At 35.0% G+C, this 13,939-nt stretch overlaps 1 protein-coding gene across 64 annotated transcripts in view; it reads left to right on the plus strand.

Annotated features, from left to right (window-relative positions):
• The window catches only part of RIMS2 (regulating synaptic membrane exocytosis 2), a 755,485-nt gene that overhangs the window by 453,438 nt on the left and 288,108 nt on the right, over positions 1-13,939 (plus strand). For all 64 annotated transcript variants that reach the window (NR_145710.2, NR_145711.2, XM_017014015.3 and 61 more), the window contains one exon: positions 7,018-7,086. Coding sequence is in view for 62 of the 64 variants with exons in the window: in XM_017014015.3 (XP_016869504.1) it covers positions 7,018-7,086 (69 nt within the window). In the remaining 2 variants the exon portion in view is untranslated. The remainder of the gene's footprint in view (positions 1-7,017; positions 7,087-13,939) is intronic.

Below are 13,939 nucleotides of genomic sequence, written 5' to 3' on the forward strand. Positions count from 1 at the left end.
AGCTAACTATTCTAACAATATATGCATCCAATACCAGAGCACCCAGATTCATAAAGCAAGTTCTTAGAGACCTACAAAGAGACTTATACTCCCACACAATAATAGTGGGAGACTTTAACACCCCACTGTCAACATTAGACAGATCAACGAGACAGAAAATTAACAAGGATATTCAGGACTTGAACCCAACTCTGACCAAGCGGCCTAATAGACATCTACAGAACTCTCCACCCCACATCAACAGAATATACATTCTTCTCAGCACCACATCACACTTATTCTAAAATTGACCACCTAATTGGAAGTAAAACACTCCTCAGCAAATGCAAGAGAACGGAAATCATAACAAACAGTCTCTCAGACCACAGTGCAATCAAATTAGAATTCAGGATTAAGAAACTCACTCAAAACCACACAACTACATGGAAACTGAACAACCTGCTCCTGAATGACTACTGGGTAAATAACGAAATGAAGGCAGAAATAAAGATGTTCTTTGAAACCAATGAGAGCAAAGACACAACGTACCAGAATTTCTGAGACACATTTAAAGCAGTGTGTAGAGGGAAATTTATAGCACTAAATGCCCACAAGAGAAAGCAGGAAAGATCTAAAATTTACACCCTAACATCGCAATTAAAAGAACTAGAGAAGCAAGAGCAAACAAATCCAAAAGCTAGCAGAAGACAAGAAATAACTGAGATCGGAGCAGAACTGAAGGAGACAGAGACACGAAAAAACATTCAAAAAAATCAACAAATCCAGGAGCTGGTTTTTTGAAAAGACAAACAAAACAGACTACTAGCCAGACTAATAAACAAGAAAATAGAGAAGAATAAAATAGATGCAGTAAAAAATGATAAAGGGGATATCACTACCAATCCCACAGAAATACAAAGTACCATCAGAGAATACTATAAACACCTCAATGCAAACAAACTAGAAAATCTAGAATAAATGGATAAATTCCTGGGCACATACACCCTCCCAAGACTAACCTAGAAGAAGTCAAATCCCTGAATAGACCAATAACAAGTTCTGAAATTGAGGCAGCAATTAATAGCCTACCCAATCAAAAAAAGTCCAGGACCAAATGGATTCACAGCCAAATTCTACCAGAGGTACAAAGAGGAGCTGGTACCATTCCTTCTGAAACTACCCCAAACAGTAGAAAAAGAGGGAATCCTCCTTAACTCATTTTATGGGGCCAGCATCATCCCGATAACAAAACCTGGCAGAGACACAACAAAAAAAGACAATTTCAGGCCAATATCCCTGATGAACATCAATGTGAAAATCCTCAGTAAAATACTGACAAACTGAATCCAGCAGCACATCAAGAAGGTTGTCCACCACAATCAAGTTGGATTCATCCCTGGGATTCAAGGCTGGTTCAACATACCCATATCAATAAACATAATCCATCACATAAACAGAACCAATGATAAAAACCACATGATTATCTCAATAGATGCAGAAAAGGCCTTAAACAAAATTCAACACCCCTTCATGCTAAAAAGTCTCAATAAACTAGGCACTGATGGAACATATCTCAAAATAATACAAGCAATTTGTGACAAACCCACAGCCAATATCATACTGAATTGTCAAAAACTGGAAGCATTCCCTTTGAAAACTGGCACAAGACAAGGATGCCCTCTCTCACCACTCCTATTCAAGGTAGTATTGGAAGTTCTGGCCAGGGCAATCAGGCAAGAGAAAGAAACAAAGGGTACTCAAGTAGGAAAAAGAGAAGTCAGATTATCTCTGTTTGCAGATGACATGATTGTGTATTTAGAAAACCCCATCATGTCAGCCCAAAATCTCCTTAAGCTAATAAGCAACTTCAGCAAAGTCTCAGGATACAAAATCAATGTGCAAAAATCACAAGCATTCCTATACACTAATAACAGACAAACATAGAGCCAAATGATGAGTGAAATCCCATTCACAATTGCTACAAAGAGAAAAAAGATACGTAGGAATCCAACTTACAAGGGATGTGAAGGACCTCTTCAAGGAGAACTACAAACCACTGCTCAAGGAAGTAAGAGAGGACACAAACAAATGGAAAAACATTCCATGCTCATGGATAGGAAGAACCAAAACTCAAAATGGCCATACTGCCCAAAGTAATTTATACATTTAATGCTATCCCAATCAAGCTACCATTGACTTTCTTCACAGAATTGGAAAAAACTACTTTAAATTTCATATGGAACCAAAAAAGAGTCCACATAGCCAAGACAACCATAAGCAGAAAGAACAAAGCTGGAGGCACCACGCTACCTGACTTCAAACTACACTGCAGGGCTACAGTAACCAAAAGAGCATGGCACTGGTACCAAAACAGATATATAGACCAATGGGACAGAACAGAAGCCTCAGAAATAATGCCACACATCTACAACCATCTGATCTTTGACAAACCTGACAAAAACAAGCAATGGGAAAAGGATTCCCTATATAATAAATAGTGTTCAGAAAAGTGGCTAGCCATATGCAGAAAGCTGAAACTAGATCCTTTCCTGACACCTTATACAAAAATTAACTCAAGATGGATTAAAGACTTAAACATAAGACCTAAAACCATAAAAACCCTAGAATAAAACCTACACAATACCATTCAGGACATTGGCATGGGCAAAGACTTCATGACTAAAACACCAAAAGCAATGGCAACAAAAGCCAAAATAGACAAATAGGATCTGACTAAACTAAAGGGCTTCTGCACAGCAAAAGAAGCTATCATCAGAGTGAACAGGCAACCTACAGAATGGGAGAAAACTTTTGCAATCTGTCCATTTGTCAAAGGGCTAATATCCAGAATCTACAAAGAACTTAAACAGATTTACAAGAAAAAAACAAACAAATGCATCAAAAAGTGGAGGAAGGATATAAACAGACACTTATCAAAAGAATACATTTATGTGGCCAACAAACATATAAAAAAACTCATTATCACTGGTAATTAGGGAAATGTAAATCAAAACCACAGTAAGGTACCATCTCATGCCAGTTAGAATGGCGATCATTAAAAAGTAAGGAAATAACAGATGCTGGAGAGGATATCGAGAAATAGGAACGCTTTTACACTGTTTGTGGGAGTGTAAATTAGTTCAACCATTGTGGAAGACAGTGTGACAATTCCTCAAGGATCTAGAACTAGAAATACCACTTGACCCAGCAATCCCATTACTGGTTATATACCCAAAGGATTATGAATCATTCTAATGTAAGGACACATGTACATGTATGTTTATTGCAGCACTGTTCACAATAGCAAAGACTTGGAACCAACCCAAATGCTCATCAATGAATCAATGATAGACTGGATAAAGAAAATGTGGCACATACACACCATGGAATACTATGCAGCCATAAAAAGGATGAGTTCATGTCCTTTGCAGGGACATGGATGGCATTGGAAACCATCATTCTCAGTAAACTAACACAAGAACAGAAAATGAAACACCGCATGTTCTCATTCATAACTGGGAGTTAAACATTGAGAACACATAGACACAGGGAGGGGAACCTCACACAGCGGGGCCTGTTGGGGAGTGAGGGGCTAGAGGAGGGATAGCATTAGGAGAAATACCTTATGTAGTTGATGGTTTGATGGATGCCACAAACCACCATGGCATGTGTATACCTATGTAACAAACCTGCACGTTGTTCACATGTACCCCAGAACTTAAAGTGTAATAATAAAAAAAGAAGACATGCATGCGGCCAACAAGCATATAAAATAAGCTCAATATCACTAATCATTAGGGCAATGCAAATCAAAACTACAATGAGATACCATCGCACACCAGACAAAATGGCTATCATTAAAAAGTCAAAGAATAACAGATGCTGGCAAGGTTGTGGAGAAAAGGGAACACTTACACATTGTTGGTGGGAGTGTAAATTAGTTCAACTGTTGTGTAAAGCAGTATGGTGATTCCTCATAGAGCTAAATGTAGAACTACCATTTGACCCAGCAATCCCATTACTGGGTATATTCCCAGGTGAATATAAATCATTCTACCATAATGACACATGCATGTGAATGTTCTTTGTAGCACTATTCGCAATAGCAAAGACATGGAATTAACCTAGATGCCCATCAATGACAGATTGGATAAAGAAAATGTGGTACATATACACCATAGAATACTATGACGCCATAAAAAAGAACAACATCATGTCTTTAGCAGGAACATGGATGGAACTGTAAGGCCATTATACTTAGCAAACTAATGCAGGAACAGAAGACCAAATACCACATGTTCTCACTTGAAAGTGGGAGCTAAATAAAGAAAACTCATGAACACAAGGAAAGGAACAACAGACCCTGGGGTCTACTTGAGGGTGGAGGGTGGGAGGATAGAAAGGAGCAGAAAACATAACTGTTAGATACTGAGCTTAATACCTGGGTGATGAAATATTCTGTAAAACAAACTCTCGGGACACGAGTTGACCTATGTAACAAACCTTCACATATACCTTCAAACCTAAAATAAAAGTTTAAAAAAGAATAAATGAGCTTGAAAAAATGCTATTCATAAAGAAAAGAAAATAGAACTTGATCTTTTTCTTGCACCATGTACAAAAAACTAAACTCTAGGTGGATTAATGACTGAAATATAATTTAAGCCTCAGTGAGGAAGCCAAAGCATTTAGTGCTGAAGTACTACCAAATAAGATATTTATTTTAAAGATTAAACTTTACAAAGTGGTGGGAGAAACTGGGAATTGTTTTAGGAAGGTTGTAAGACAATGGTTGAGGAGTCTGAGAAAAGTCACTTGCCAAAGACCACGAAGAGGAGCTAGTGAAAAAGTCTGTGAAAGTCTGTTGCCTGTTCATATAGTAGTGATTCTGGAAGTCTCTGTGGGACAGAAGGATAGACTGGTTAGGAAAAACGCATCCAAAAAGGAAAATCAAAGAAAACTAGAACCCATGCAGACAAACTGGAACCTGTGTTTATCTCTCATCCCCTTGCACCCTGATTTTGTGGGCCATCTACAGAAGCAACTGCAACTGATGTCCTTGTCATGAATCTCCAGGTGTGCTTAGCTCAGGTCTGGGAGAAGATTCAAAAAGGGTATTTATCAGGATCAGAGAAGCATCTAAAATCCTAGACTTTGGTTTTATCACACCTGTATTAAAAACCAGAAGGAAGTGAAAGAGAAATTGCAAAATTACAATTATAGTGACAATATCTCAAAAATGCACACACAGACAAATGTATATGGATTATTATTTTTTATTTTTTGTATCATAAATAGGGACATGTTATTACTATTTTTATACTCTGCTTTCTGTCTGCTTTTAATCTCTATTGTTTTAGTGGTTACTTTTGAAATATTAACATGCATACCTAAAAAAGTAATTTTTTTTTTTTGAGATGGAATCGCACTCTGTCACCCAGGCTGTAGTGCAGTGGCGTGATCTTGGCTCACTGCAACCTCCGCCTCCTGCCTCAACCTCCCTAGTAGCTGGGACTACAGGTGCATGCCGCCATGCCTGACTAATATTTTTTTTCTTTTTTTATTTTTTTGTATTTTAGTAGAGATGGGGTTTTACTATGTTGCCCAGGCTGGTCTCGAATGCCTAAGCTCAGTCAGTCTGCCTGCCTCAGCTTCCCAGAGTGCTAGGATTACAGGCGTGAGCCACCGTGTATCTCTACCTTTTCTTCCAAACCATATACAATTTTGCAATTTGATAAGCACCCTCTTCCCTATCATCTAACATATTACAGAATTGTACCTTTGGCTTCCTCACTGAGGCTCAAATTATATTTCAGTCTTTAAAGCAGTGTGTAGAGGGAAATTTATAGCACTAAATGCCCACAAGAGAAAGCAGAAAAGATCTAAAATTGACACCCTAACATCACAATTAAAAGAACTAGAGAAGCAAGAGCAAACACATTCAAAAGCTAGCAGAAGGCAAGAAATAGCTAAGATCAGAGCAGAACTGAAGGAGATAGAGACACAAAAAACCCGTCAAAAAATCAATGAATCCAGGAGCTGGATTTTTTTAAAAGATCGACAAAATTGATAGACCGCTAGCAAGACTAATAAAGAATTCTGTTGTGTGGGGTGTGTCTGTTCCTGAAACACATGGAGGTGAAAACAAATTAAAAACAAATAACAACGTTTGTTTTTATATGCAATAATTTCATATATAAGCGTGTAGTCACAATCTACTTTAGTCCTCAAAGCTCTGGTTGATTCAATTTGATGCTATTTTTGCCACAGTAAGATTCACATTTAAAAATTTTGCTATAGATTTGTTATGTGAGGAAAAACACAAACATGGTGCTCTTGAATTGTAATAACTATGAGTGCCTTTCCTAGTCTATTTCTTAGAAAACATAACAAAACTCACAATTTTGATGTATTAGTATTGTGGATGACTTTTTTCTTATTGTCTTTTCAAAGCAATAGACAAATAGCTAAACTACATAGTTTTTTTAAAAAGGATATTTAAGATGTCTTAAGTGAGTTTGCTTTTCTGAATTATACTTTCTCTCCATGAGCATGAAAAATAAGGAACTGACTATATTCAATGTATTGGTGATGCATATTAGAAAAAGACACATTCATGCATTTGAATATAACACATTGTGTTTTGAAATTTATCTGGTCTTAAGTGTCTTTGTCCATAAGCATCTAAAATTAACTTGACTTATCTATTTTCTAATAGATTTTATCAGTGTTGGATAACTTACACATATTATTTAGTATTTAATGTTATTTTAAGCTTTAAACCATTTAGGAACTTTATCTTATACATCTGCAGAATAATAATTGTATAAATTGTTAACTCCTCATCACCCATATCCTCACGTCATGAAATGCATGTGAAAATAAATGACAAAAAGCTCATAAGGACTTTTCTTCTGTACATATTTTTTGTTATTAACTGATTCACTCAGAATATTTTCGTTTGTTTTTCAGGTGTTTGAGGAATTTTCTTCCTTAGAGAATCAGAATTTTTAATTATTGCTATTGTTTACTTTATAGGGTCAAAGAGAATAAGTGATAGTGAAGTCTCTGACTATGACTGTGATGATGGAATTGGTGTAGTATCAGGTAAGAATTTTAGAATTATTTTATAGTATTAAAAAGGGAGTGCAATTCATCATCATTTACCATAAAAGTAAATAAATAAAAGAGAAAGATATAACTCGTCTTCTCACCCTCCAAAACAGCCTATGGCAACCTATGACAACTTAAACCCCTGAGTAATCCCAATTGCTGGAACACCTGTACCAATTAGATTGGATAGTCTTGAAAGATACCAGATACGTAGATGTCAATAAATTTTCTATTTTAAGACAATAATAAGGATTTTACAATAAATTGGAGGAGTTCTTGCATAATCAGACTTTTTTATACTGCACTAATATGGTGGAAAAAAGATGAAATCTTTTTTATGTAACCACCATATCTAAATATGTCAAATGTTTAAATGGGAGTTTTTGAAACTTTAAAATTGTTTTTATATGAAGTATCATGTACAGCTACGTTTTGAAATTATAGTATTGTAGTTTAAAATATTTGCCTCATTTTAAAGTTAGAAACTTATCCAATGGTTTAATATTTTAGGTAAGTATATATCTTTTCTGCAAGTTCTGATGACAATGTTTACATGTAATACCTTTAATATTGTAAAATAAAGTATTCTATTCCTTTTGAAGGTTAAATAACCTAATAGATTTCATAATTATGACTAATTTTACTCTAAACAAAATGTATGCAAGGCATGCCACAGTTGCATTAGTGATTGATAACAATATTTTTTTGCCAATTTTTGTTAAGAGTCAGTTAGCATGCCTTTATCAGTGTACCACTTTTTAAAAACTCAATGATTATTTTTTCCCTTTCTTTGTACTAAGGGTGAACAATATAAGACTACAAAAATACTCTTCATGTATTGTGGTTTAGAAGAGCTAAAACTCATAAAGTAGTTTTGAGAAATATTTCTCATGATTGCTTTCTTGGAGATCATTAATTTTTTTTTCTATTTGTATTCTATTCCTTTGTTATTTGACTATTCCATTTCTTATCTTTTGTAAATATCTAGTCCATTAGGTTTTCTTCTTCCAAATTCTTTCCATTCAGATCGTTCATCTTGATGCCATTTTTGGATGTTTCTGTCCTTTCATTTTCTGTTTTCAAGATGACAGAAATATTTCTTTATTTAATATGATCATTTTAAGTTTTTCCCTCCTATAAAAGGAGTTGTATCTTTTGAAAAAGTTGTATATTTTTTCATTTATTTGGGTTAATAGTCTCTGGAATAATTTTCTGGCACTACAGAATTGTGTTTAGAAACCCTACCCCACTCAAAGTGCTTACTCTGGATTCATTAAGTTTCTTCATATGAAAAACATTCTTTCCTATCTGGACATTATTGTTCTTATTATTTTGCCAGTCAGAAACTGTCTGGTGAATCGTTTAATAAGACACTGAAAAGACTGCCATGAAATATACTATATTTTGCTACTTTGAAATCCAATGCGATTTTGAGAAATAGATTTTTCGTAATATACTACACTTTATTTTTTATTGATTGATTGATTGATTGATTGGTTTTTGAGACTGGGTCTCACTCTGTTGCCCAGGCTGGAGTGCAGTAGTGCAATCACAGCTCACTGCATCCTCAACTTCCCCAGGCTCATTTGACCCTCTCAGCTCAGCTTCCCCAGTAGCTGGGACTACAGGTGCACACTACCTAGTGTGTGTACTAACTAGGGTTACTAACTAGGGCACGATACCTATTGAGTGTACTAACTAGGACTAACTAATCCCTTATTTTTTCTAAACCCAGCTAAATTTTGGATATGCTACACTTTAACAATACCTTTAGTACTCAAAAATTAGGATGATGGTATTGTAGTTTCTGAAATTATGGTATATGTAGTTTTTTTTCATAACCCATCACTTTAGTAAATGCTGTAGGAATTACATTTACATAAGACTTATGATCACCAAGACTTAAATATATATTAGTTCTGTTAAATATTTTCCTTACATTTCCTCTTTATAGCCTTTTCATTTTACAACTCCAATATTAAAACTAGTTTTAATAGAGAATAAATTTTTTAATCAATAGCTTATCAAATAATTTAAGGACCACCAGATAAAATAAATAATATATTTTCTGGGTAAAGCAACTCAGATGTGAAATGCAATGTATACATATACAAAATGCGCACCCCTACCTCTCTTAATAATATTTAAACACATAGTATGAGTCAACAAACCAGCAAAATCTATTGATAGTTTGTTGCTTATATGCAGAGATTTCTTTCCAATTGCACATTGAATAAAGTCAAATTCAGAGTATCAATTACAATCATTCATAATAAACCTGAACTATCAAAACTGTTCTTAAGTAGGAACTGTTTCGACTAACTTATTCAGTTTTTCTAAGCTTGCAAGGCAGATGTCTTGAATATTAACTATGCCAGAAGTAATATTTTCTATGTGTTTTTTTAAATTTTAGGGCAGCATTAGGTTTATAGCAAAATTGAGAGGAAGGTATACAGATTTCCCATATGTCTTCCTACCCCAACACATTCATAGCCTCTCCCATTATCAACCTCCTCCACCAAACTGGTATGTTTGTTACAACTGATGAACCTACTTTGACACATCATAATCACCCATGGTCCATAGTTTACATTGGGGCTCACTCTTGGTGTCAAATATTCATTGGATTTGGACAAATTGATAATGACATGTATCCATCATTATATTATCATGCAGAATATTTCCACTACCTTAAAAATTCATCTTTCCCTTTCTCCTAACCCCTGGCAATTATTGATCTTCTTACTGTCTCCATAGTTTTGCCTTTTCCAGAATGTCACATAGTTGGAATCATACAGTTTGTAGCCTTTCAGATAGGCATCTTTCACTTAGTAATATGCTTTGTCTTTTCATGGTTTGATAGCTCATTTATTTTTAGTGCTGAATAATATTCCATTGTCTGGATATACCACAGTTTGTTTATTGATTCATCTGCTGAAGGACATCTTGGTTGCTTCTGAGTTTTGGCAATTATAAATAAAGCTGCTATAAACATCTGTGTGCAGGTTTTTGTGTGGACATGTTTTCAACTCCTTTTCGCAAACGCCAACCAGCACAATTGCTGGATCGTATGCTAAGAGTATAGTTTTGTTAGAAAGTTCCAAAACGTCTGTACCATTTTGCATTCCCACCAGCAATGAATGAGAGTTCCTGTTGAATGAGAGCTCCTGTTGTTCCACATCTTGCCAGCATTTGGTGTTGTCAGTGTTCTGACCATTCCAATAGGTGTATAGTGGTATCTTGTTGTTTTTATTTGCATTTCCCTGATGACATATGAGGTTGAACATCTTTTCATATGCTTATTTGCCATCTGTTTAATTTCTTTGGTGATGTGTCTGCTCAGGTCTTTGGCCCATTATTTTTTAATTGGGTTGTTTGTTTTCTTATTGTTGAGTTTTAAGAGTTCTCTGTATATTTTGGACAACAGTCCTTTATAAAATGTGTCTTTTACACATATTTTCTCTCTTCTGTGGCTTCTTAAAGCAGGGATTGTCTTGACATTGTCTTTTGCAGAGCAGTTTTAATTTCATTGAAATTCAGGTTATTAATCATTTCTTTCATCAATCATGCCTATGGTGTTATATCTAAAAATTTATTGCCATACCCAAGGTTATCTATGATTTCTCCTATGTTATCTTCTAGGAGTTTTATTATTTTGCATTTTATATTTACATATCTGATGCATTTTTGAAGAGTGTAATGTCTGTGTCTAGGTTCCCTATTTTGCATGTGGACATCCAATTGTTCCAGCACCATTTGTTGAAAAGACCATCATTGCTCCATTGTATTGCCTTTGCTTTTATGTTGCCAGAGATCAGTTCAATATATGTATATCAGTTTATTTCTAGGCTGTCTATATGTTCCATTGATTTATTTGTCTATTCGTTGACCAAAGAGTACCACAGTGTCCTGATTACTGTAGTTTCATAGTAAGTATTGAAAAGTCAGGGTCAATTCTCCAACTTCATTCTTCTCCTTCAATACTGTGTTGAATCTTCTGTCTTTTACTTCTCCATATGAGGTCTGGAATCTGGTTATCAGACTCCACAAATTGATATGCTGAGAAGTTGATTGAGATTGCTTTGAATCTGTAGGTCAAGTTGGGAAGATTGGACATCTTGACAATATTGAGTATTCCTTTATATGGAATATCTATTTATTTAGTTCTTTTTTATTTCATTCATCAGAGTTTTGTTGTTTTTCTCATGTAGATCTTATACATATTTTGTTAGATTATACCTAAGTATTTCGTTGTTGGGAATTGCTAATGTAAATGGTGTTGCATTTTTAATTTCACTTGTTCATTGTTGATATATGGGAAAGTTATTGACTTTGGAATATTAACCTTATATCCTACAACATTTCTATAATCACTTATTAGTTCCTGGAGCTTTTTGTTTCTTTGTTTCAATTCTTTTGGGTTTTTACATAGACAATCATGGCATCACAAAAAGAGTTTTATTTCTTTCTCCCTAATCTGTATGCATGTATTTTCTTTTCTTCCTTATTGAATTATCTAAGTACTTCCAGTACAGTGTTGAATACAAGTGGTGAGAGTGGACATCCTTACCTTGTTTCTGATCTCAGTGGGAAAGTTTTGAGCTTTTTTTAACTGGTAAATATGATGTTAGCTGTAGGTTTTTGGTAGATATTCTACATCAACTTGAGGAAGATCCCCCATATTCCTAGTGTACTGGGAGTTTTTAGTAAATTCAGGATGTTAGATTTTGTCAAACTGTCTTTTCTCCGTCTATTGATTTAGTCATGTGATTTTTTTTTATAGCCTGTTGATGTGGTGGATTACATTAATTGATTTTTGAATGTGGAAACAGCTTTGTGTATCCAAGATTAATCCCACTTATTGTGTATAATTCTTTTTATACATTGTTGGATTCAGTGTGCTAACATTACATTGATAATTTTTGCAGTAATGTTCATGAGAGATGTATTCTTTTCTTTTAATGTCTTTGTCTGGTTTTGATATTGAGGTAATACTGGCCTTATAAAATGAGTTAGAGAGTAGTCTCTCTGATTCTGTTCTCTGAAAGAGATTGTAGAAAAATTGAATAATTTCTTTCTTGTTTGGTAGAATTTACCAGTGAATCGATCTAAACTGTGTTGCTTTCCATTTTAGGAGGATATTAATTATTGATTCAATTTATTTAATAGATGTAGGCCTGTTCAGGTTATCTGTTTTTGTTTGAATTTGACATAACTGTGTCTTTCAAGGAATTGGTCCAGTTTCATCTACATTATCAAATTTGTGGGCATAGAGTTTTCATAATAGTCCTTTATTATCCTTTTAATGTCCGTGGGATCTGTAGTGATGTCCTCTTTTTCATTTCTGATATTAGTAATTTTTATACCCTGTTTCTCTTAATTAGCCTGTCTAGAGGCTAATTTGTTCTATTAATCTTTTTAAAGAACCAGATTCTGATTTTGTTGATTTTCTCTATTGATTTTCTGTTTTCAATTTTACTGACTCTAATTCTACTATTTATTTTGTAACTGCTTACTTTGCATTTAATTTGCTCTTCTTTTTCTAGATTCCTGAGGTAGAAATTTAGATGACTGATTTTAGGTATTGCTTTTTTTCTAATATACATATACATTCAGTACTATAAATTTTCTTCTAAGTACTGCTTTCACTGCATCCCACAAATTTTGTTGTTTTCATTTTTATTTATTTAAAGATATATTTAAATTTCCCTTGAGATTTTTTTCTTGACCCATGTGTTATTTAGAAATATATTATTGGGTTTTGCAGTTATCTTTCTGTTACTGCTTTCTAATTTATTTTCATTGTGGACTCAGAGCAGCATTGTATGTTTTAAAAAATTTGCTAAGGTGTGTTTTATGGCCCAGAATATGCTCTATTTTAGTGAATGGTTCCAGGTGAACTTGAGAAGAATGTATATGCTGCTAATTTTTGATGATGAAGTAGTCCATAAATGTTGATTATATTCAGTTGATGGTGTTTTTGAGTTCACTTATCTTCTTACTGATTTTCTGCCTGCTTGATCTGTTCTTGTTTTTTTTTTTTTTTTTTTTTTTTTTTTTTGAGATAGAGTTTCACTCTTGTTGCCCAGGCTGGAGTGCAACAGTGCGATCTTGGCTCACTGCAACCTCTGCCTCCCAGGTTCAAGGTTCAAGTGATTCTTCTGCCTCAGCCTCCTGAGTAGCTGGGATTACAGGCATGTGCCACTACATCTGGCTAATTTGTTTTGTATTTTTAGTAGAGACAGGATTTCTCCATGTTGGTCAGGCTGGTCTCAAACTCCTGACCCCACGTAATCCACCAGCCTCGGCCTCCCACAGTGCTGGGATTATGGGCATGAACCACCATGCCCAGCCTGTTTGTTTTGTTTTTTGAGACAGGGTCTGGCTCTGTCACCCAGGCTGGAATGCAGTGGTGCAATCTTGGCTCACTGCAACCTCTGCATCTCAGGCTCAAGCAGATCTGTTCATTTCTGATAGAGTGGTACGGTAATCTCCAACTATAATGGTGGATTCATCTATTTCTCTATGCACTTCTATTAGTTTTTGCCTGACATATTTTGATACTCTCTTGTTAGATGCATACACATTAAGAATTGTTATCTCTTCTTGAAGACTTGGCTCCTTTTTCTTTATAGAATGTCCTTCTTTATCCCTGATAACTTTTTTTTGCTGTGGTGTCAGCTTTGTCTAAAATTAGTGTACCTACTCCTGCTTTTTTTTTTTTTTTTTTTTGAGACAGAGTCTGGCTCTGTCACCTAGGCCCCAGGCTGCAATGCAGTGGCACAATCTCAGCTCACTGCAGACTCCACCTCCTGGGTTCAAGCAATTCTCTCACCTCAGCCTCCTG

The sequence above is a fragment of the Homo sapiens genome, chromosome 8, assembly GCF_000001405.40.
Source record: "Homo sapiens chromosome 8, GRCh38.p14 Primary Assembly".
Lineage (NCBI taxonomy): Eukaryota > Metazoa > Chordata > Mammalia > Primates > Hominidae > Homo > Homo sapiens.